This window comes from Homo sapiens, chromosome 12, assembly GCF_000001405.40.
Source record: "Homo sapiens chromosome 12, GRCh38.p14 Primary Assembly".
NCBI classification, from domain to species: Eukaryota; Metazoa; Chordata; class Mammalia; order Primates; family Hominidae; genus Homo; species Homo sapiens.
Window position 1 is genome coordinate 40,024,081 of NC_000012.12, and position 25,776 is coordinate 40,049,856.

General features: G+C 35.5%; 1 protein-coding gene across 8 annotated transcripts in view, besides 1 other annotated feature; it reads right to left on the reverse strand.

Moving 5' to 3' along the window:
• The window catches only part of SLC2A13 (solute carrier family 2 member 13), a 351,057-nt gene that overhangs the window by 269,056 nt on the left and 56,225 nt on the right, over positions 1-25,776 (reverse strand). For 7 of the 8 annotated variants that reach the window (XM_011537847.3, NM_052885.4, XM_017018765.2 and 4 more), the window contains exons 2-3: positions 23,971-24,130; positions 4,221-4,429 (exon numbers count right to left, since the gene is read on the reverse strand). In XM_011537847.3, the coding sequence (XP_011536149.1) occupies positions 4,221-4,429; positions 23,971-24,130 (369 nt within the window). Of the gene's footprint in view, positions 1-4,220; positions 4,430-4,527; positions 4,575-23,970; positions 24,131-25,776 lie in introns of those variants that run through there. The other variant, XM_017018766.2, reaches the window with a different exon arrangement.
• Positions 4,143-5,342: an enhancer, noted in NCBI's record as "MED14-independent group 3 enhancer chr12:40422025-40423224 (GRCh37/hg19 assembly coordinates)". NCBI's record gives its function as "activates an origin of replication core promoter dependent on BRD2, BRD4, P300/CBP and CDK7 cofactors, and independent of MED14, by STARR-seq in HCT116 cells {active_cell/tissue: HCT116}" and the evidence as "EXISTENCE:reporter gene assay evidence [ECO:0000049][PMID:35650434]".

Genomic DNA, 25,776 nt, shown 5'->3' on the forward strand with positions numbered 1-25,776 from the left:
GTAATTACCTATGTCTCTATCAGGATTCTGTATCTGTTGATAATACAGGCCATGACTCTATTACACATCTATGCAATATGATATAAACTAGGAAAACAAACCAGACATACCACAAAATGATGGAAATCATATTAATGTTTCTTTGTATTTAAATTTGCTTTCAATTCTGAAAACAGTAATTGTGTCCCTACTAATTTAACACTTAGGCTTGGGAACCTGAGATAAAAGATGTATAGTTAGTTCTTACTGCAATATCTTAGAAGTCTGGTACATGTACACTTTGTAGCTATGATCAAAACTTGCAAAAATCAATCTGGCCCACTTAATAAAACAGAATTTTGCATTTGCTGTTTCCTCTTTCTGGAACAGTCTTCCCTCCAGTTCTCTGTATTGCTGATTCCTTTTCACCCTTCAAGTTCATCTCTTCAGAGAGGCTTTCCTAACCATCCCATGTAAAGTACCCCTTTTCATTCCCTCTATAAGCATTTTATTATTCTCTTCATCTTTTTCAAAGCAATTACCATAATTTGTAGTTATCTAGTAGTTAATTGCTCTTTCATTTATTGTGTGCCTTATCCAATGAGAATGGACCAGAATCTTGTCAGTCTTATTTACTGCCACATCCCCACCTCTGATGCATGTCACTCAATAAATACTTTTGAAAGAAATACTGCTGTACAGCATTTAGAAATAAAGAGGAGGCACTTCTCAGAGACTTTCAAAATCCTAAAAAAACAGACCTTGGAGTTATTATAATCTGGTTTTCTTTTCTTACAAACCTAAAAAGAAACTGAGGCGCGGCAACTCTCCCGAGATTCATTTAAGATGGCAAGTTTGAGACACAGCCAGTGATATTCTTCCATCTCCCTGTCTCCCACTCCAGCGAGCTCTCCAAACCAAGCTGTTGTTTCTGCTAGTCTTACTTTATTATTCCTACAGGATGTATCAACAGTGCTGAGCACACGTGAAAACCAAATGTTTGCTTCTTTTCCCATACTGCCTTTTTGTTGTTGTTTTGCCAACTATAGTGGAAAAAAACACACAAGACATTGGATGTCATGCAAATGAGTCTGACCTCAATGCCATGGGCAGAAGAGATGAGATTCCATTGCACTCCAACCTTATTCCATGGTATGGCCTGGAAGCCTCAACTTTGCTGCTGACATGGCCAGAGCAACTGCCATATCTACTATATAAAGTGTGGTTTTAAACCAAGAAAAATGCTCTAGGCACTAACAATCTCACACATCCAAAAAATAAATTAATGTAGCCAATATACACTTCAGTAGCTAGGCCTATTTTCCTCACAGAGGTCAAGTTTAAATTCAAGTGAACAAGAAAAAAAAATTCCTATGAAAAGAGAAGGATCACATATGCAAGTGCCATAACCGTCACAAGTCACAAATCCACTGGGGAACTGCTAGATAAGACATGGTTTACTGATCCAGAATCAGACCTATTTATTAGTAAGCTCAATGCGAACAGGTATCTAAGCCACCATGTTTGATAACACATTCCTCCTTATAAGAAATAGGGTGTCTTAAACAACGTCTTTCTAAATTCCTGGAATATCAGGATAATTTGTGGTACCTACATTAAGGTTCCCTTCAGGTAGCTGCACTCTATTGCCCACAGTTCCCAGGCTTGATGTTGTGGATCAAAATTCTCAGGATCCATGGACAGATTAACAGGCCATTCCCTAACCCTTCAACACAATGGCTGATTCATCTTTTCTGTGCCAGTGCATTTTTATTACTTTGAAGTTAGCCATTCTTTTATGTGCATTTGTCCATCTAGCCTATCGTTCTTGAATGAAGCATGATGGAGGGACAAGACCATGTCAGTTTGTTAACTCTCTATTTTCCAATTAAACTGACCCAGAGTCTTGCTCCTGGACATTACAATACTGATAATACAATTCACAGTTCTGCAGACCATGTTTTACTGTGGTCACGTTTCTTAATCATAAAAAATCAGGTCCTCAATCACTGGTGCCATGTAATCTGGCAAATCTGTCTGAATGCATTCATGCAATAATGCTCTTAACTGCGTACTTTTTAAAAAGAACGTTAAGATTAGCTTTTAAATTAAGCAAGATGATATTACTTCAAATAATACAAATCCAGAAATGGATAGGTTAATAATCCTATTAGTTCCAAAGTTTAGAATATTTACTCAAGCATGAGCAAACGTTATTAGGATCCAGTGAATAACATTATAGTATTTTTAAAAACCTGTGCCAAATGTGAATGTAAAACAAAACTGGGGAATAGGGAATTATTTTATCTATATCCAAGCAAAGGGGTGCTATTTAGCTCCCAAAGACTTCTGATAAAAACTAAAGCAGATGTTGATAATTGCAACCCTATGTACCCCAGATTTCTTTAAAAATTCATTTGGTTATATATTCCGAATAATGTCTAAAACTCAAATAGGATACACCGTCAACACTGCATGGCTAGAGTAGTCAGACATATTTTTAAGCAGTCAAAATGAAGCTATATCCTTAATGCTTTGCAATAAAATCAATGATATCCATATCCCTAAACAAGAAGGCTTTTAAAAATTAAATTTTTATCCTTTATATAAATTAAGAAAAATACAGGCTCTAAATAGTATTTAACAATTTTTCTCTTACTCTGAAAAGTTTTTCCACTCACACATAATTTGTACATAACTTTCAAATGTATGAATTACTACAATTAAAACAAATTCATGGCCAGGTGCGGTGGCTCACGCCTGTAATCCCAGTACTTTGGGAGGCCAAGGTGGGCAGATCACCAGAGGTCAGGAGTTCAAGACCAGCCTGGCCAACATGGTGAAACCCCATCTCTACAAAAAATACAAAAATCAGCCAGGCATGATGGCCCATGCCTATAATCCCAGCTACTCGGGAGGCCGAGGCAGGAGAATCACTTGAACTCGGGAGGCGGAGGTTGCAGTGAGCCAAGATCGCGCCATTGCACTCCAACCTGGGCAACAGAGTGAGACTTCATCTCAAAAAAAAAAAAAAAATTCATATTTCATTTGAGTTACTGAGAAGAGAAATTTAGACAGGAGCATAAAATAAGTTGTCATTTAAATAGATATTTTAAGATATTTTTTAAGGAACACGATGTTTAACTCAGTAAAAGTAAAACTTTTTGTTAAAGCAAAATTCTCCTTAATCTTTGCACTAATATGTTACTCTAGAAATGCTGACATTGCTGGACACCTGGCTGATGCTCAAAAAGCGTTAAAAAAAATGAACTTCACATAGAATGGGCTCACAGTTTGTTGAGGCTTTGATCTCAGCAACAAAGTGACAGCATCATGCTATCATGCTACAGGTAGGTAAAGTTAAATCAAGCCACGTGTGGCTAACACAGAGACCAGCTTCTTCAGAGTGTTCATCCTGTTGTTTCAGGAAGGCAACAATGGTCAGCTCCACCAAAAATGGTAGGAGAAAGTAGACTGGACAGACCTTCTAACACCTGTGTAGACATGTATCAGCAAAGGAGTGTGTGTGCTTGGCATTTTCTCAGGTATGAAAAATAATTTGACTAATACAAATCTGCTTCTCCCCTTGAGCTAACAATGTAGAGGCAAAAGGAAGCGCAAGAGAAAATAAGACCAATTTGGGAAATGTGAAGTGAGCAGGCTAATTGTTATTGTTGAAAAAATGTATCTTGAAATGTCTACCTTTTCCTCGTTTACATCCTACAAATCACTTACCCAAATCAGACTGTCAAGATTATAGATCCTGCCTCAGAATTGTTTGGTACATTTCTATGTGAAATCTTCTTCAAAAATAAATTCATCAACATAAATTAACATGAGACTTTTCTTGGTTTTCTGACATGGTGAATTTCAGAATAGACAATGAATTAAATATTTTAATGGAAAGAGGGAAACACAAACTTATCCCTAAACTAGTACATGAGGTACTCATACGCTTTATAAAAATTAGTATGAAAATTAATGTAACACATGTAAACGAAGCATTTTAATTTTTTACAAAGATTATTTTGAAAACAGTTCAATAGCTTTTAAATGAATATGGAAGGTCAATAATACATATATAATTTTATATATGGATATTTTTGTATAAATATAAATATCCATATTTATACATAAATACCCATATATTAAAAATATATTATACACACACGCACACAAAATAATGACAAATAAGACCACTGTATAGTTTTTAAATTCATATAAGTATAAAGTCTATATACCTGAGCCAACCTCTTTTTCCTCCTCTTCAATGTTGTTTTTGATGCTATCATATTCCTCATCAATGGTCTGGTTACCACGCATCTGAGATAAAATTCTACGGGCCTTCTGAGTCTGTCCTTTCTGAATAAGCCATCGAGGGCTTTCAGGCAAAAAGAGAAAGCCAAAAAACTGTATAACCGCCGGAACTGCTGCAAGTCCCAACATGTACCTGCAAAGAAAAAAAATCCACATTTACTGTAAAATTTGCTCTTACCATCATGTGCTCACCACATACTTTTGTGTTGTGTTGACAACAATAATACTTACTGTGAAGTTAGCCAGAATTATTTGTGCATTTATGTGTGTGTCTGTCACTAGGAAAAAAGGATATTTTTGTGCTGCACTGAAAATTAAAAAATGAGAAAAATCTAATTATTTCTCTACCTTTCCCACAAATTACATTGAAAAAGAATGAGCAAAAGCTACAGTCATTATGTATACACATTCTAACCCAAATATATTAAGCAAAACATCATAATCACCATTCCTATGTAAGGCTAACATATGTAATTTTGTATTTTACAATATAAAATGGGGCTACGATAAAACTTTCTGATATCTGCTTAAAAGGCACACTTTTCATTAAAATAAGTGCCCAAATTTGTTTCTTTATAGTTATTTCTGACTTGTGAATCATTAGTTATAATTTTGTTGTTACAATTTTCCTATTTCATTTTGCCATCAAGCATCATGTTCATCATCATTAACTGAGGAATGGGGGCCCACAGGAAAAAAAAAGATGGAGTCAGAAATCAATAATCCTAATAAAAATCTGCTCATGTTGTTGTAAGTTAACTGTTATCTCTTTAAATATCTATTCTTAATGGCTGGCAAAATTCAAAATAGCAAACAACAATATCATTTTAACTCCCTCCAAGAAATAACAAAAATAGTAATGAGTATATCTATATCAAAGATCTCTCCAAATTATGATCACCAGACTGATTTCCTAACATCTCTAAGGCCTCCATCTTTTTGAACCAAAGGGGCTGAATTAGATAAAATTTAAGCTGTCTTTCAAATGGAAACTTCCATGCATCTACGATACCTGAATGTTTTCTGTTAATCCAACTTCTCTAGGTATGTTCTAGGGTAGATTCCTAACAATAGAGCTCAGGAGGCCAATTCTATTTCTATAACAAACCACACTGATATGCATAAGTCATGGAAGTCACTTGGCTCAATATATTTTTCAAAGCTATTCTACCTTTTAAGCTATGCTAAACTGATAGTAGCCTTAAAGGCTCCAGAGATAAATCTCACAAAATAAGTCTGCTATTTTCCAAGCAATTTCATTTTAATTAAAAAACCAGTAGAAGAAAAAATATGATTATTACATGGGTAGTAAGAATACCTCCTACTACAAATTACAAACTTAAACTACACATGGAAACAGAAAAATTAACCAGGATATGGAAAGTAAATAAACTATTTATGAATGAATGGCTAAATGAATCAGTTGGCCTGCAGTGTTAAATCTTATTGGAGGTGTCTTACGCTTTAGGCCATGGATTGTGATAATTACACCAATATTTAGTCACTCCTGCCTCTGCTCACCCACAGAGCACACAGTTTAACCTTAATTTATGTCTTTGTATCTTGTATTATAATACATTATTTAGCTATCCCAATCAATTGCTTAATATTATTTAACTTTGTATTCAACATAGCATTTAGTTAACTTGCACACAGTAGGCATTGAGTACATATTTTATGAAATAACACATAAGCACCTGTATATCTAAACTTTCTACATTAACTAACCAGAAAATAACTGTGCTTTGGATTTATATGACAATATCTTAGGTAACAACTCTTCTGGGTCATTTAGCTCTGCAAATTTACTTGCTCAGTAATTCCTTCCAACCAAACCATTCATTATTCTAGATATAACTGGACCGTCTCTTCTGGAAGAGTCCTCGGATGAGAGCTACAGAGATCAGCTCACAAAAATATGTACTTCTGGCCTCTTCCCCTTAAGATGTTAACTGGTATAATTTAATCTGTTATTTAAATGTATGTTTTATTGCTGTAAATCAATAAAACTTCCATCTGAGCTGTGTCAAAGACATGTTTATACTATATTGCTCATTATTTAAAAGGGATTTTTCAAGGTAGACCCTAAATATACTGGATTAGGAAATAAATTTTAAAAGTCCTAAAGGTGAAAGCCTTTATGTTTCATTTATCTACACTTCTCATGATCTTTCCAAAGAAAGATCATGAATTAAGATAGAAAAGCAGCAGATAATACTTCAAAAAGCACTGAAATGAATGTAGAAACTGAATCATTTTCAGGTCCAAGATGCTCACATAATATTTTGCACTCTGCTACTTGCTATTAAATCCCAGGATGCAGTATTTTTACAAGTTTTTTTTTAAACAGAAAAAAAGACAAGGGAAGAGAAGAGAAGAGAAAAGAGAAGACAAAAAGAAAAGGAAAATACAGACATATATATTAGCCTGTGTTTCTTAAGTGAGCTACAGAAGACAGAATAGGCCTTCCCACCTTTTGAAATCTGTGCAAGAGTCTGGGTCCGAAATGTACAATTCCGTTGCCCTAACGTGTGGAAAAGGAATTTGTACCCTCCTGCCAATCCTTAAGCATATTAAAGCTTCTTTCTAGAGATTAGTCAATAAAAAAATGTTTTATACGTTTGTATCCTAATACTTCTAAAAGTAAAATGAGAAAGCTTATTTTGTTTTAATTACCTTTCACGATGAAAATATTTTGATATGAATAATTTTCATGGCTTTGAAGAAATGCAATACACAAGATCAGAGCTTATATGACAGAGAGGACACAGGAATGGATGTGGGTGTCACTTCAGCTCCGGGCATACAAACCACAAGAACCTGGTCAAGTTACTTACACCATTTTATTTATTTATTTATTTTTTTAGATGGAGTCTCACTCTGTTGCCCAGGCCGGAGTGTAGTGGCGCGATCTCGGCTCACTGCAACCTCCGCCTCCCGGGTTCAAGCAATTCTCCTACCTCAGCCTCCTGAGTAGCTGGGACTACAGGTGCGTGCCACCACGCCTGGCTAATTTTTGTATTTTTAGTAGAAACAGGGTTTCAAAATATCAGCCAGGCTGGTCTCAAACTCCTGATCTTGTGATCCGCCCACCTTGGCCTCCCAAAGTGCTGGGATTACAGGCACGCGCCACTGCTTTCGGCCAAGTTACTTAACATTTTAACACACAGGTGACAGTATCTATTTCATAAGACTGCTGGGGGAATTAAGTGAAATCATTCACCAAGGCAGAGAGGATGCTCGGAAAAAATGTTTCACCTCCCTGAACTCCTAACCACGCAATCAATTCACTGTAACGTGTTTGTTCTGGCTGTATCACCCAACTAAATTTTCAGCAGGTACAACTAACCAATTTCTTTCTTAAGAAAAACATTCCTCTAACGATGTGCAGACTGGAGAATAGGAAAGATAAATAAGAGGCTGTTTTGCTGTGGTACTAATAAAAATTTCAACATGAGACAAAAAGAGAAGGCTCTTCATAAACTAAACTAAGGCAGTAGTAGGACTACCAGTCCTCTAAATCCAAGGAAAGCAGGAATTAGATGAATGACAGAGTATTGTGATACACTGGGGCAGGCAGTCCCCAGAAAAGCAAGTAGTCTCCTATTGATACAAGAGATCTCATTATTCTAAATTAAGTCAGGGTTTCTAAACCTGGCTTCACATTAGAATCACCTAGGAGGCTGGTAAAACCCACCAGTTTCCAGGCCCCACCCTTCCCCAGGGATTTTGATTAATTGATCTGGACTCTGGGCCCAGGGAGTTGTTTTATTAAAAGCTCTCCAGGTGGTGCTAATGTGCAGTTGTGGCTGAGAACCAAGGATCTAAATGTTTTTAAAACCCAGGGTAAACATGAACAACAAGCACCCAAGGTCCACACCTTACGGCAAAAGCCATTTACCTTCTACGGACAAGCAAGCGCACCAGACAAACACACAGTCAAGCAGACATGCCAAGCTCTCATGAGTTTTTAAATCTTTAGTATGTTCTTTACCATCATGATCACTCATCTAAAGATTTAAAATTTTCTAAACTTACAGTTACAAAATGAACTATTTTCTGGCACAGCTAGCAGTACCAGCACCTGCCTACCAAAGCAGGCCATTTAAAGGCAGAGGAATACTTCCAAAAGACAAGGTTAGGCCAGCTGTCAACAAAGAACAATCCCACCAATTTCACCTCAGGTTAAGCCTTCTCAATTCCAGAGATGGAAGCTCTGTGAATGGTGGATCCTGCATTCCTGGGGCCAGACCTCCTGCTATGGCTCAGCTGAGCAAGCCTGCTGTCTCTTCCATCAGATGGCCAGGGGCCTCACAACAAACCAAACAGGTTCTTCACTGAACTAAACATTCACTCTCATTCCTGTTTTAAAGCAATCCTGCTGCTCTCACCTATGTAACTAACGACAATAATCCTCTCATATCTGCTTCCTTAAGTTACAGAATTTTGCACTTCACGATCATTGACCTCCTCTCTGAACTGATAACATGAGTTAGCATGTTATCTGCTCTTTCGTAGTTCCAGAGGTGTGATGATTATGTTCCAAATATGTGAAAATCTAGTTGAATGCACAATCTCAGCATAGACATGTAATTGTTTAGTAACAACAATACTAATAGCAATAGTAACAGCTAATGTGTAGCACCAGTTACCGTGTGCCAAGCACTGTTCAGAACAGTTAGGAAACATTTACTCCCATGATTTCACAACAACCCTATGAGGCGAGTGCCATTATTATCCCCACTTTATAGACAAAGCAATGAGGCACAAAGAAGATACATGGTTAGTATGCAACAGAACTACAGTTAAAATCCAGGAAGTCTGGCTCCTACAATAAATGTTTATTGTAAGTCAAGCTATATTAACTGTTCAATAATTACTTGATAATTAATTCTGTAGAACACATTAAAAAGTGCATTAATTTACCTTAGCTTCATGTTTAAAGAATTCAGAGGTTCCCTTTGGAAGTATTATTCCCTCACCTCTGTTAAATGCAGTAAAACACTGCAGAAATAACAAAGCAAAAGCAAAAGCAAAGCTGGCTGGCTGGGAGCTGTCACTCCTAATTGTGCCCAGCACAGGTGCCCAACACAGTACCACCCACTGGGCTGGGTAACTGCAAGCTGGATTTAAATAACACAGAACTGCTAGGAGGAAATGGAATATCCTGTGATTTTCTCAACACCTATCCTTACTAAATCAAAACTCCCTAAGAGCATTACTGTTAAAATAGCTGACTACTAGTTAAAATACCTCATGTGTAAAGGGTAAATTTGTACTGCTTCTTTTGACCACTGTGCCAAACTAAAGTTTTATTTAATGTTTCTTTAACATACACTAGTAAGCTTTTCATACAGGAAAAATTTGGATAACAAGAAGGTAGGTATTTTTAAAAAAAACCATTAGGAGCAAAAATATTCGACTGCAAGATTTTAAAGGATTTGATCCTTTGAAAATATTTTCTATGATGAATATGATAGATCGAAAGTTGCTTTCTCTTTATTTTTCAATCTCTGCATCCCAAAGGTTTCCCCAAGCCTCACTCCTCCTGAAGAAATTGTACAGGAGTGAACAACTGCATCCCGCATTTGTGCTCTGTTTCTTTCCCTTCTCCCCTATGTTCCTGTTCCTCCTTAACCCAAATGACATGAAAAAGTTGCCAATGCCTTACACTGGAAGATCTATATGATCTGTGGTTTTCATTTTAAGTCAAGCTGTAATGGAAAAACTATCCTAGTTAAGGGAAGTTTATTACACTACATTGTATTTTTTAAAAACATGCAATTGTTTTTGTAGCCCTTGAGGAGCTGAATTCTACTAAGAGAAGACACTTTTCACTTTGAGAGGCACAGTAAAGGTTTTCAGACACCATACTCATTTAGTCAATTATCCTCCCAACAGGCCATGAAAGCATTAAGGTACAGGTCAACTATCACTTCCTTACTGGTTTCCCAACTTCATGTTGTCAAAACTGTGGTTCCAAGCAAAATAACCACCTCATACTTTTTAGTCACAGTTAATCTTGATACTTTCTGAAACACTAAGATTGGCTCACTGACAATCTCTGAAATGTCATCCTGAGTACAGTGGGGCTTTCTAGCAAATTCTCTAATAATATCCAATACTGTCTTAAACTAAAAAAAGGAAATGAAAAAACTGTATCTGTAATTCCAATTAAGTTTTATTTCCACTCTGTCTTCTGGCTTGCACTTTTGCTATTGATTAACAAATCATGTCCATGTTAGCCCATTCTGAATAGCTCAGAGGAATATTATAAATATTAAGATGATGTATTCTTTAAAATTCTATAGCTTCAAGTTGGTATTCTTTCACAAATAACTATAAAATAAACTCAAAATCTTTTTTTCCTGCATTAGTTCACGGAAAATAAAAAGGGTTAGCAATTAGAATCAATAGATTCTTTGAAAACACTAACTAATGAAGATGTATTGTGTTTGCTTGGAAAGCTAAGCCTTGTGATTTCTCTGAGCTGTTACTCAGCTATTTACCCAGCAAATATCTCCTGAATGTATGTTAAATGCCAAGCACTACAGCTAATCACTGAGCATCATGAATAAACTTACCCAGAGATGGCATCCCCCCGAGCTGGAACTTTCCAATGATAAACAGGACAGTGAAACATTTTCCCCTTAAAAAAGCATAACTCAAACCCCTTCAACCTCATCCAAGAACACTGTGCCCTCAGTCTAACATCCAGAGCTATCCAACTACATTGTTCAATGTTCCAATGAATTTTGAATTTTTCATATACTGAAGGAATAATCACATGAGTGATGTGTTTACTGAAAGATCTCTATCCATGGATTTACAAAAGAAATGGTCATCGTTATTGATCAATAACTAGATATTTACATGATAACATGGTCACCAAAGTTATGATTTATGTAATATGTTTCTACTTAATGCAAAAGTTTTAGATGCAAACAGATAACACTGAATTTAGCCAGTTGCTAGAGTTATGTTACAGCAACTTACTTGGTAACATATTTTTAAATTTTAGTTCATGCTTCACAAGTCTATTTTAGCAGAAAAGAAAACATTGCCACATTGAGATCCCAGGCTGGAAAGTTACTTTTCCTCTGCCACCAAGGACCATGTAAGACATGCACCCTGATGACTGATACACTTGATAATCAGATGGCAGCTAGAGAATAAACATAAGACCATGGCTGAAGGTACCTAAGAAAAATTTCAATGTGCACAGATGGAATCTTTCACGTTAAAAGCAGGTAATATATGATCCGCAAATGATCAACACCTGTGTTACCTCGAGAAAGATTCTGTATACACTGTAAACAAACAAACCCTAATTGCCAGGTAAGTAAACATAACAAAATATTAACCCTGTCTACATAGCTTAGAAGAAGACTCCACCAAGTAAACTAATATCAGCATATAAGTGGCTTGGCCAGGGTTATTTAAAATGTCATGATTATAGTGGAAGAAGTAAAATATGCTCTGACAGAATGTGATATCGTTGAAATCAATGAATATGGCATTTTGCACAAATATTAAGTAGTTTTAAACTGCATGGTAAAATACGTTAAGACCTGCACAAAATTCACAGTACTGTTGCTGAAAATAATGTACACACTTCTTAAATATACACATATCCTTTTTTCCCCCCAAACTCTGAGAATCATCCATGAAAAGCTCTGAGCTAGGGATTATAGAGAAACAGTAATGATCAACAGACATCCCCTGCTTCAAGTAACCTATACTCCAGTAATCATCAAACAAAATAGGATTCTTTAACTGCCATGATGGGGGTTTAGGCCCAGTGTAGGAGGAGTTAAGGAGAGCAGTTATTCCAACAGAAGCTATTAGAAAAAAATTCTGGCAGAAACATTTATGTTATTCATTGGTCAATGCAGAACAGGAATATAACAGAGAAATCCACCATAAGGCTGAAATTAATTTATTTTTAGGTAAAATTTATATACAAGAAAATGCAGAGATCCAAGGTGTAACCATTCTGAATTTTAAGAAAATATGCACACCCTTGTAAACACTATCTCAATCAAGAAAGAGAACATTTCCATAATTCCAGGAAGTTCTGTCGTACCCCTTTTCCAGTCAATCCCCATTGCCGTAGACAACCACTGATCAAATTTCTGACCCCATTGCACATTGATGAACTTCATATGGAATCATGGGGAATGTACTGTTTTGTGTCTAGCTTCTTTTAATCAGCACAATATTTAAAAAATTCATTCATATGGTTGTTCCTTCTATGTCACTGATTCATTTATCTACTGTTACCAGACTGTCCTGATTACTTTAGTGTTATAATAAGTCTTGAAATTAGACAGTGAATCCTCCAACTTTGTTCTTTGAGATAGTTTAGCAATTCTAGGTCCTCTGATTTTCCATAAAAAATTTAGAATCAACTTTTCTGGTTGAATGAATGTAAGTGATGATAGTGGATATCTTTGCCTAGCAAACAGTCATAAGGGAAAGCATCATTTTTTCACCACTGAGAATAAAGCTGGCTGCAATTTTTTTGTGTGGATGTCATCTTCTACTCTGGTTTCCTGAAAGGTTTTATCATAAATGAATGTTATTCTCTCAAATATTTTCTCTGCATATACTGAGATGATCATACAGATTTGCCTCCATTGAATAATTTCAATATGGTGACTTGCATGGATTATTTTTCCATATGCTAAACCAACCAACCTTCCTGGGTCATGATTTATTCCCCTTTTACATACTGCTTGGTTCAGTTTTATTAATTTTTTGTTAAGGATACCTTTTGGTCTGAGTTCATGAAATTGGACTCAAATTTACTTTTCTTGTAACAACTCAGGCCCTAGTAATAGAATTATGCTGGCTTCAAAAACCTTATTGGGAAGTGTTTATTCTACCTTTATTTTCTTAAAGTTTTTGTTTAAGATTGAAGCTATTTCTTCCTTAAATATTTTATAGAATTCACCAGGGGCTGGGTGCAGTGGCCCACACCTCTAATCTCAGCAATTTGGTAGGCTGCAGTGGGTGGATTGCTTAAGCTCAGGATTTCAAAACCAGCCCAGGAAACAAGGTAAAACCTCATCTCTACAAAAAATACAAAAATTTGCCGGGTGTGGTTGCATGTGCCTGTGGTCCCACCTACTCAGGAGGTTGAGCTGGGAGGATCCCTTGAGCCTAGGCGGTCAATGCTGTAAGTGAGCTATGATCCTGCCACTGCATTCCAGCCACCTGAGTGCCAGAGTGAGACCTGGCACTCAGGTCTCAAAAAAAAAAAAAAAAAAAATTCTATATGGGCCTGGAATTTGCTTTGCAGGTAACTTATTAATAATGATGTAGCTTCTTTAATAAATAAAAGGATACTCAAATTTTCCATTTCATGTCCATTTTTGGTAAGTTGTGATTGTCAAGCAAATGACCATCCCATCTAAGTTGGTAAATTTATTGGCACCAAGTTGTTCACAGTTGTTCAAATTTTTCCTTCATTATCCTCATAATGTCCATAGAATGACATGCCCTCTTTTATTCCTGATATTGATAATTTGTACTTTATCTTTTTATTCTTAATCAGTTTAATCAGTCGTAGCCAGTGTATCAATTTGATTAATCTTTTCAAAGAACCAACTGTTAACATTGACCTCTGCTCTTTAATATTTCATTATTTGTTTTGTTTGGGTTTAATTTGCTCCTATTATTCTAGCTTCTTAACATGAAACTTAGATCACTGACTTTAAACCTTTCCTCTTCTCTACTGCAATCACTTTTAAGCCACATATTTTCATCTAAGCACTGCTGTAGCTGCATTTCACAAATTTTAATATATTGTATTTTCTTTCCATTCAAAGCTATTTTCCAATTTTCCTTCTGATTTCTCCTTAGACCCATGAATTATTTAGAACCTGCTACTTTAATTTACAAAGATTTGCAGCTTTTTCTGGCTATCTTATTGTTATTGGTTTCTAATTTAATTCTGCTGTGGTCAGGGGGCATATATTTCATTTATTTATTTAATAAATTACTAACATTTATTTTATACCCCAGGATATGATGAATTCTGGAGACTGTCTAATGTAAATGTGAAAAATAATTCATAAGGCCAGGCATGGTGGCCCACGCCTATAATGCCAGCCCAAAGTGGGTGGATCACTTGAGCCCAGGAGTTTAAGACAAGCCTGGGCAACATGGTAAAACCCTGTCTCTACAAAAAAAATACAAAAATTAATGGGCATGGTGGCATGTACTTCTAGTCCTAGCTACTCAGGAGGCTGAGGCGGGAGGGTCACTTGAGCCCAGGAGGTCGAGGCTGCAGTGAGCCATGTTCATGCCACTGCACACCAGCCTGGGTGACAGAGCAAGACCCTGTCTCAAAAAAAAAAAAAAGAAAGAAAAGAAAAAGGGAAAGGGAAGGGGAAAGGGAAAGGGAAAAGGAAAGGAAAAGGGAAAGTAAAATAATATGTATAGTGCAATTGTTGGATGTAGCAGTCTACAAATGTCAGTTTTGACAAGGTATTTAATAGTATTGTACTGCTTTTTTATAATCTTTTATCTAGTTGTTCTATCGTTGTTAAAAAAAAGAGTTAAAAATTCTGCAAATATAAGCTCAATTTGCCCATTTTTTTATTGTGGTAAAATATAAATAAAATTACCATTTTGTCCACTTTTAAGTATACAGCTCTACAGAATTAAGTGCATTCACACTGCTGGCTAACTGCCAGCTGATAATTTTTGCTTCATGTATTTTGAAGCTATCTTATTAGATAAACTACACATTTTGTATCATTATTATTTCGGATGACTTGGCTCTTTTGTCATTAGAAAATGTCCTTCTTTATCTCTGCTAATACTGTCTCTCTAGAAGTCTACTTTGTGTGACTATTAATATAGCCACACCAGCCTTCCTATACTCACTTTTGTATATTACATCTTTTCCCAACCTTTCACTTTGAATCTAATAGCATTAAAGTGTGTCTCTTTAGACAATGTAGATCTGTGCCACATTTTTAGTACACAATAATTTTTTACATTTAATGCGATTATTACCATAAATGGGTTTTAGGTATACCATTTTGCTATTTGCTATTTGTGCCATCTCTTATTCATTCCTGTGTTCTTAATTTATTGCATTTATTCAGCTTATCCAAATATTTTAAGTATTACGTTTTAATGCTCATAATGGCTTCTTATGTGTTTCTTTTTGTAATATATTCTAGTCATTGTTCTACAGATAAAAACATGCATCTTTCACTTATCAGTCTACCTAGAGATACTGCTTCACAAATATATAATTCCATTTACTGCCTCCAACTCTTTTGCTATTATCAAAAAATTGAGAGGAAGGTACAGAGATCTCCCACACACTTCCTGCCCACGTATGCATAGCCTCCCCAATTATCAACATCTTCCACCAAAGTGGGACATTTGTTGCAAGTGATGAGCCCACATTAGCACATCATTATCACCTACAGTCCAAAGTTTACATTAGGTTTCACTCTTGGTGCTATATAGTTCATGGGTTTGGACAAATGTATAATGGCATGTATCTGCCATTAAAGTATAATAAAGAGTATTTTCACTATCCTAAATATCTTCCATGCTCCATACATTCACACATTCTGTCCATGTTTTATAATGGTCATCTTCAGGGGAATTAGACTTATACAAACTGCTCTGTCATTACCAAACCATGTTTACATTTTCCTGGAAAAAAATCAGATAACTGAAGGTGAGAGCAATTTTTATTGCCAGCTTAAATGCCGAATATAGAGACTTAACCTAAAACATTCTGAAGATAACAGCAAACAATACCTAATAGCACTGAAGAGTTTGTAAGTATGTTCACTGCTACTAGCTCATTTGATCCCGTAAATAACATTGTATGACTGCTGGAACACTGGCTAGGTGAGACTATTAGAGCTTAGATAAATTAATTCATACGCTGTGAAAGCAAATCTTAAACATATTCTTCCCACCACACTGTAATATCTTCATGATAAACAGTCGTATTTATATCTTCAGCACTAAGGTATTTACTTTTTGGGGTTGTTTTGAAAAAGGGTCTCACTCTGTCACCCAGGTTGGAGTGCAGTGGCGTGATCTTGGCTCACTGCAACCTCTGCCTTCTGGGTTCAAGATTCTCCCACCTCAGCCTCCTGAGTAGCTGAGATTACAGGCATGTGCCACTATATCCAGCTAATTTTTCTATTTTTTGGTAGAGATGGGGTTTCACCATGTTGGGCAGGGTGGTCTCGAACTCCTGACCTCAGGTGATCCACCAGCTTTGGCCTCCCAAAGTGCTGGGATTACAGGCATAAGCCATGGCACCTGGCAGGTATTTACTTGTAATGAGACTGTTTGCCACCAATTAATACATGTGTTATCTAAATCTATCATTCTTAAAATGACCACTGCATACTTCTATTTTTAAGATAGTGATTGACTCATATTCTACATTTCATATAGAGCCAAGTACCACTGATCTATTAGCACGAAATTTTAAGAACACATTCTCCAGCATAAAGTTGTTTAGAAATAACATCCCCATTTAAATATCATTCTGAGAAGCATCTTATTGACATGGATTTTAAAATTATTATTATTATTATTATTTGAGATGGAGTCTAGCTGTGTCACCCAGGCTGGAGTGCAGTGGCATGATCTTGGCTCACTGCAACCTCTGCCTCCCGGGTTCAAGCAATTCTTTGCCTCAGCCTCCCGAGTAACTGGGATTACAGGCGCCCACCACCGCGCCCGGCTAATTTTATTTTTTTAGTAGAGACGGGGTTTCGCCATCTTGGCCAGGCTGGTCTTTTTTGAGGCTTTCAATAAACAAACCCAAATCTAATGTGTTATGAAAGTGAGAGCAAAGGATTTCAAGTTCCATCCACACCCACCAAAGGCCGGCCTTCCCACTTCACCCCCAAACTCCCAGATGATCATCATAGCCCTCCTCCTAGCTGCTCTAACTTCTCACTCTTGTCCAAGCATGACTGGTTCTTTCAGATGACAGGGCCTTTGAAGATTACATTTCACCTAGAATTTCCCTCTCCCTCACTGTACCTGGAATTCTTTTATTCAAAAAGCTCAAATATCTTTCTGTTGTGAGGCTAAGTTATTCATTCATCTTGGGAGCTCCCATTACACTATATCCATCATTTATTCAACAGACTAAAAAAAGTCTCTCTCCTATATTAGGCCATTAGAGGCTTCAGGACAGGAGGAGCACTTCTTATCCATCTTTCCATCTCTAGTATTAAATACAAGACTAGTATGCAGAAAGTGTCAAGAAACTCTTTTGAATGAATGACTGAATTATTTCCACACCAACTGATGACTCCAAAAGTATAACCTCACACCTGTACCTTGGCAGCAGCCTCATAACTAGGTTTCCTAAATCTACCCAAGAGGCGAGAGCCCCAGTTAGTTCTGGGCATCACTGCCGTAGTGATCTTTGACTCCTGTCATGGCACACTCTGCTAAAAAAATAATAAATTCCCTTTGCCTGTAGACAGAAGTTGGACTTGAATTCATAGACCATTGGAATCTGGCTTCAGCCTCTCATGTACATCATCACTGTAGTCTTAATCCTCCCTGATCCTACCCCCTCCTGGTCTACACTCTGCCTCCCATATCCACCTGTGTCCACCTGAGTCCCATCAATTCTTCAAAACTCAGCATGTCTCACATTGTGCATGAGTCAGCCTCAGGATACTCAGGAAAATCTCTCCTATAGAGGTTCCCAGGACTAATATTTTGTATTTCTCATTCAATACCTATATTACATCAATTAAATGATGAAACATGAAAATGACTAGCACAACCAGACATTTAACAAATGGTTGTACATAGTTTAGTGAGGTGGAATAAGATAAGCCTGTTTTTTTTTTAAAGTAGATCTAGGAATAAGATGAGTAAAAATCAGCATGAAACAGAAAAATTTAGCCCCTCTGTATATATACCTATCCCTATTAATACAAATCACATGATGACTATATACTTGTAAACACAGAGACACTCATTTGAAAATCAGCATTACCAAAGAGAAAATAATGAAAGTTTTCAGGTTCCTAGGGAGGTATATTCTCTTGAAGGAGATAAATTTTCATAGGCTCAGAAACTAATTTTCTTTCTCTTATTTGTACCTGCAGAAACACATATAATTAATGATTTAATTTTTATCTATCTATGAAGTATATATATCCCTCTGTATAAATTAATACATTGGTATTTGGTTTATAATAAATATCTTTTTATGCTAACTAAGAGTCCCTTCCCTAGAGCCCAGTGAATTTCAGCTCAGTTCAATAAACATTTACTGAATATTTACTATGTTCTGCGCCCTTCCTAGATCTAAAAATGAGTAAAAGGTCAATGACATTCAGGAGTTCCAAAATGAATGAGAGGAGATAGAAGAGTAAGCAAGTAGTTGAATATAATATGGTGAGTATAAAAATGGAGCTTTGTAGAAACTATTATGAAAAGACAAAGGAACAGAGTTTCCATGATTCATGAGCAGAGATTTACAGGATGAACAGGAGCTGGACCAGAATCCCTGGATAGGGTAGGGAGACACTACAGGCAAAAAAGAGCATAAGAATGAAAAAAAAAAAAAAAAAACTAGAAACATGACAAAGCAAGATATGGTTGGTTTATAAGCTTGGGTTTTATACAAAGTGGAGTCGGGGGCAACACTAGTTAGAAGAATCTTGAAAAGAATGCATGGATTGGGTACTACAAGCCATGATAAAGAATTTAATTTTTTTTTCCCTGTAGGAAATAGACAGTCTTGAAACATTTTACTAGTGGCATGCCCAGATAAGTTTTCTAGACAGATCATTCTGATGGCTAAGTTCACTTACTATATATTTACTGATAAGCCAGGATTTAACTAAGCAATTTTCAAAAAAGGATATTTTTTGTTTGCTTGAAGTGTAGTGAGTAAATCTCACTATGTTCATGAAGTAAGATTTAAAAATATTAGCAAAGAAGACAGGTATGGTGACTCACACCTGTAATCCCAGCACTTTGGGAAACTGAGGCAGGTGGCTCACTTGAGGTCAGGAGTTTGAGACCAGCCTGGCCAACATGGTGAAACCTCATCTCTACTAAAAATAAAAATAAACTATATATATATATATGCTTCTCTGAGCATCAAGTTTTAAATCTGCAAAATGAGAATAACACCAATTCCACTAACCTGTCAAGATTTTGGTTAGGATCAAATGGTATTTGCTGCCAGATGCTGAAACTGTTCGTCACTATAATGCAAATATATACATATGCAAAGAAAAGGGCAAGCAGCGATAGAACTTTATCATTAATATTAACTATCGAAACATCTCTGCCATCTTTGTCAACACTACAATATATTAGGAAAAAAAAAAGTTATCCTCATGATTACTCATTAGAGAAATGCAAATCAAAACCACAGTGAGATGCCACTTCACACCCACTAGGATGACTGTAATCAAAAAAGACAAATAACAAGTGTTTACTAGGACATGGAAAAATTGAAACCCTCATACGTTGCTTGTGGGAATGCAAAATAATACAGCCACTTTGGAAGCAGTCTGGCCAGTCCTCAAAAACCTAAATACAGTTATCATATGACCTAGCAATTCCACAGATAGGTGTATATCCAAGAGAAGTAAACGCTTATGTCTATCCTAAAATTTGTACACAAATGTTCATAGCATCATTATTTATATAGCCCCAAAATGTTAACAATACCTATCAACTGATGAATAGATAAACAAAATGTGGTATATCCATATTATTATTTGCTATAAAAAGAAATGAAGTACTGACACATACTACAACTTAGATGAACCTTGAAAATTTGCTAAGTGAAAGAAGCCAGTCATAAAGAACCACATATTCATATATGAAATATACAGAATACATAAACCTATAGAAACACAAAGTAGATTAATGGTTGCCTAAATGTGGGACAGCTTGGGGGGTTAGGGGGTGATGGCTAAGGAGTGCAAGGTTTCTTTTTAGGGTGACGAAAATGTTCTAAATTTGATTGTGGCGATGGTTGCATAGCTCTGTGAATACACTAAAAGCCAAGTGATTGTACAATTTAAATGGATGAGTTGAATGGTGCATGAATTACATCTCAATAAAGTTGTTTTTATTAAAAAATCAAATCTTTAACAATATTTTCAAAATTTTATTTCCTCTTTCTTCATGAAGCCAGATGGTATCCTTCCCAGTACAGAATGTACTATGATAATGAAGTGCCAGAAAAATAGCAACATTGATTCTGCTACTGGCAGTTCTTTTTTTCTAGAGAAAGTAAACTTCCAGTTGTTCAGCAGAAAACAATTTATTTCTATGATATCTAAAAAATAAGAGAACAGAAACTTTGACCCATCTGGCATAAAAGGTGAACTATAATGTTTCTACAACATCAAAATCTAAATTGCTTTTCTGTCAATCGATTTCATCTTCCATCTGTCTTAATCCAATCACTACTGTAAAAATTATCAAAAATTATGGCTGTTAGATTATAAACGCTTGAAAGCAGAACCATGAGGAAGAAAGGAGTTAGCTTTTGAATAAGAAGATTTGAATCTAATCTCTGCCAAGGCCAAGTAATAGCCATGTGGTCTCAGGCAAATATTTAACTTCTCTAAGCATCAAGTTTTTAATCTGCAAAATGAGAATAATACCAATTCCACTAACCTGTCAAGATTTTGGTTAGGATCAAATGGTATTTGCTACCAGACGCTGAAACTGTTCATCACTATAATGCAAGACCAGTAAATCTGGGACACTGGGTATTGTAGTATAAAATTTAATATTAGAAACTTGAGGTAGAGTTTCAGAAGCAATAAAAGCCAAAAAGGGAAATAAAACAAATTTAAAATATTCAAATTATTTGAAGACTGGGGACATCTAATGTGAAGATATATAAAAATATGAGTATGGAAAAGAAATTTTACATGATATATTTAGACCCACATTTTCCTTCAGATTTTTCCTTAAGATTTTTGAAACATATTGCTATAAAAGTGATGAGTTATCTATTGTTATAATTATGAATAAGTTATCAATTGTTGACAATTACAGAGTCTAAAGTTAATGCTAAGGTAGCACTTCAATTTTTATTTGCTTATAACCACATTCCTATTAGCCCAGGAGTCAGATGAGATAAATATACTGATAAGGATACTAGATAACAGAAGACAATAACAGAGAAAATTCACCTAAAAAAAAGGAAACATGTTTGCATGTGTACATAATTAAATGTGTATTCATGCAAAGAATAAATTGGGTTCAAAACAATCTGGTTGTTAATACTTTGGTCTATATATCAACGGGAGTTAGTTTTCCCATACTCTTATTTTATTTTTTCATCCCTAGGCAATCCAGTATTGCCAGAAAAATAAACATGAGCATGCTAATTGGCTTTACTGCAAATATATGTCTCCAGCTTCAGCTGGGATTCCATGGTTACTTGGAAATCATGTGTTGTCCCTAGTCTTTTCCTTCTCATGCTTCCCACAGCAGCAATACACTTTAAATCTTTTTTTCTCTAGTCTTCTGCCCTACCATCTTGAAGCATCATTCTTGCCAATAAAGAAAACAGATAACACAGAATGTTGATTTTCCTTCAGCCTCTCTTACAACATCGATAGTAGCATCCATCTTTTACTCAATTCATCAGAACAGCAACTAACAATGTGATTCTTCATTTATTATCTGCCATGTGCCAAGTGCTACGCTAAACACTTTACATATAATAAGTAATTTGGATCCCACAATAATCTTATAAGTATTTCTGGTTCTACTTTATAGAAAAGTGAAGCTCAGAGGGGCTAAATGATTTGTTTGGGGTTCTTATCTAATCAATGGTAAAAAACAGATTTGAATCCAGGTCTGTCTATGATGTCTCCTTGCCTCTGCAAGGGGGTTTCAGGCTTGTCCCAACACCTCCGCTTTTACACGGGCACACCACATTCATAAATGTATTGTCACTACTGTGAGATCTTTCTCTTTCCTAACCAGGACTGAGAAAAGATTTCTTAATTGTTATGCGTAAGTGAAAAATGTGATTTATGCAACTATACATGCTATGCATTTGAATATATCTATATTACTTACATTAATAAAAATTTTTAACAAAATATAAATTGATGATTTAGAACTTCTTAAAGACATGTAAGTTGAAAGACTGACTTCCATTGCATTTACAAGAAAAACTCAAAATACCAGGTTATACTGAAAACAGTTATCGTCTTTCCTCTTTCTCTTCATCTACTGAGTAGAAAAAAAAAAAAGAAGAAAGAAACTTCCTGCTTCAGTTTAGCAACATCTGCAGACACAACAACCGTTTTTAAAAACTGTGTCCTCCCCTTAATGGTCCTTACAAATGTAGGCCCTCATTAGCTTCAAAGAGTTTTCTCACATGACTTTTAATTAAAACTTCACCCATTTAGGTCTTTAATGGCTCATCCTAAGCCACAAGGTTTATCGTGCTTCTTACAAGCAGTTTAATTCCCTGGGTCCACATCATATTGCACCTTTTTCTTTCTTTCTTTTTTTTTTTTTGAGATGGAGTCTCGCTCTGTTGTCCAGGCTGGAGTGCAGTGGTACACTCTCAGCTCACTGCAACCTCCGCCTTCAGGGTTCAAGCGATTCTCCTGCCTCAGCCTCCCAAGTAGGTGGAATTACAGGTGTGTGCCACCACACCTGGCTAATTTTTGTATTTTCAGTAGAGACAGGGTTTCACCATGTTGGCCAGGCTGGTCTCAAACTCCTGACCTCAAGTGATCCGCCCACCTTGGCCTCCTGAAGTGTTGGTATTACAGGCGTGAGCCACCACACCCAGTCCACACCCTTTTTTCTTCTACTGTTGAGGATTAACATCAACACTGTAAAAGCCATGCAAACAAGGGTTTGAGTTTATATTGTTGAATATTCTATTCCCCAGTATCTACAGAGAAGTAAATACTGAATAAATATTTGTTCTAATAAGTAGAGGCAAGAAAACAAGATAGGCAATATTGTATAACCTCTAATGCCTTTTAATAAAATTTCTCTGGAACAGTTACATGAGTACTATAAAGATATCAAAATCCAGAGCCCATAATATCTTTTAAGCTTTAACATAAGATTTTGTTTTAATAATAGTTTGTATTTATTTTAAAGCAGTTTTAAAACCACTTTTGTCATTTATTGATTCAAAATAAGCCAAATATCAAGGAATAATTTGTATACTTTAAACTCATGTATATCTTTTTATAGAGGTATATTTTTATCTTTAAACACTACGTTTCTTTCAGATCAAAATGTAGCTTCCAGAATGCAAAAAGGATGTTAGTTATATCTGTAGTTCATAAACAGCTTGTCAATCATTGTAGAATTCATGAACTCCATACATATTTATCACTGCATTCATTTTTAAACAAATATTGCAAAAGATTGCACACAGTGTGAGAAATGTCACCTAAATGCTAAAAAAGCCCTGTAAATATCAATTCTTAATGGTAGGTTCCTTGTCTATCATCAAAATAAATATCAGCTTCCTGTCCACTCTCAGTTTTGCTGAATGTCACCTACTTATAAATTAGCAATAATGATTCAAAACACACAGCTATATTTTGACTATGATTTCTCAATTTTTCTCCCCTTCCCCAAAATCAAGATTTGAAAAATTAAATGTAAAAAGTATTTACAAACCTCCATCCATCCTTCTGGAGATAACTGAAGGCTCCATCAACAACACTTGCAAAGAACTGCCCTCCTGTGATGAAGAGGGTATTAATGGTGACTAATCGGCCTCTTAAATTGGGTGGTGAGACCTCCGCAATGTACACTGGCACTGTCATAGAAGCAATGCCTATAAAAACAATGAAAAGTAAATGTGAGACATTTACTCAAGATTTCTGTTGCAATAAATACTAATGCTAGATTTAGGCATACACTTACATATATGGGCTTGGTTTTCTACTTTAAGCAAAGGTTTACCACATATTTAAGATTTTGTTCATAACTAATTTGGGGCTACTGCAGACAAGTAAAAATGTATGTGAGATATCATTTTTCTTATTATCACTTGAAAGCCTACAAATGAAAGCACCCCTAAAGACCTAAGATAATTTCAGAGTGCATATAAGTATGCTTTATAACTTCTTGAGGACTAAAAATAGCAAAAAAAGTTCTCTAGATAGAATGATTACTGAAATATTTTTAGTCTATATGGAAATGTAATCAGACAATAGTGAGAATAAAAAATTATCTTAGGATACATATTAACTATTCAAAGACATAGTTAGATGCCAGTAGATTTACTAAACTTTTAATTGGTTTACTAATAAGAAATTCATATAATAAATCACCTTATTCAATTGGCTAGGTATACATTTCAGAATAAAAGAGTTTTACAGCTAAGGTGTATTTGATTATATTAGCTTTAAATTTTTTTCTATCTGAAATTAATGCAGTATTCTCTATGGCAGTAGTTCTAACTTCACTGATAACCAGAATTACTCATGTGACTTTTTTCTTTAAATAAAATTGCTCTTACCTCACCCACCTCAGACCTACTAAATAGAAAACTACAGAGGTGGGGGATGAGATTGTCCTTTTAAAATTCTCCAGAGTGATCTTGACACTTACTGTGTATTTAAAAACCTAAAGTTGTATAGTACAGAACTTTAAGCCAATCCAAATGATTTCTTAAAGTCTCACCCTCTTGTGGCCCCTGCAATTTCCATGTATGTCTGATTATTTAGCCTATTTTAGTATTTAGTATTATTTAGCCTGTTATAGTATTCAGCCTTACCCAAAGGTTGGACAGATACTGATTTGCTGTATCTAATCAATACTTACCAAAGCCTCCATAAAAAAAAAAAGATTGCCTAAAAAATTTAATGTTTATATCTCTAGATACTATAAATCAATCCTTAGATTAAGCCAGAACATCAATAAAATGAATAAAACAGATCTATATAGAATTGCTTTTAACTAATTGCTTTTTAACGAATTTATGATGGCAAAAAAACAGCTTGTGTTGAAGGAATCAGTACTAAGAAACCTGTTGCTGTGTTTTCTGTACAAGTGCTGTTGAAGGTGCTATTTATTACATTCCATACAGCAAGTGACATTTCTCTATGGTCTCAGTAACTGCAATAGTTGTGGTTTTCTACAGGTGATTTTTGTTAGTTGATGGCTATTATAAATTGCAGCTTTTTTTCATTTCCCTTTTTATGTACACAGTCAGAAAGGCCCACCTCCATCCAATGTTTTGGACTTCAAGGTATTATTTTGTGACCCAAACTCTCTCCTAATGCCATAACAGTTGTAATTTATCCTATTATAAGTGTATTTTTCCTCTATTTTTATTTGCTTTGTTACATCTTTGAACAAGGCAAATAAATACATAGATGAACAGATAGGCAAGATTTATTTAAGTAATACATATTTATTTGGGAAAATTCACTGTATTATTGCATAACTACTGATAAGTAGTTATTAAATTTGCAC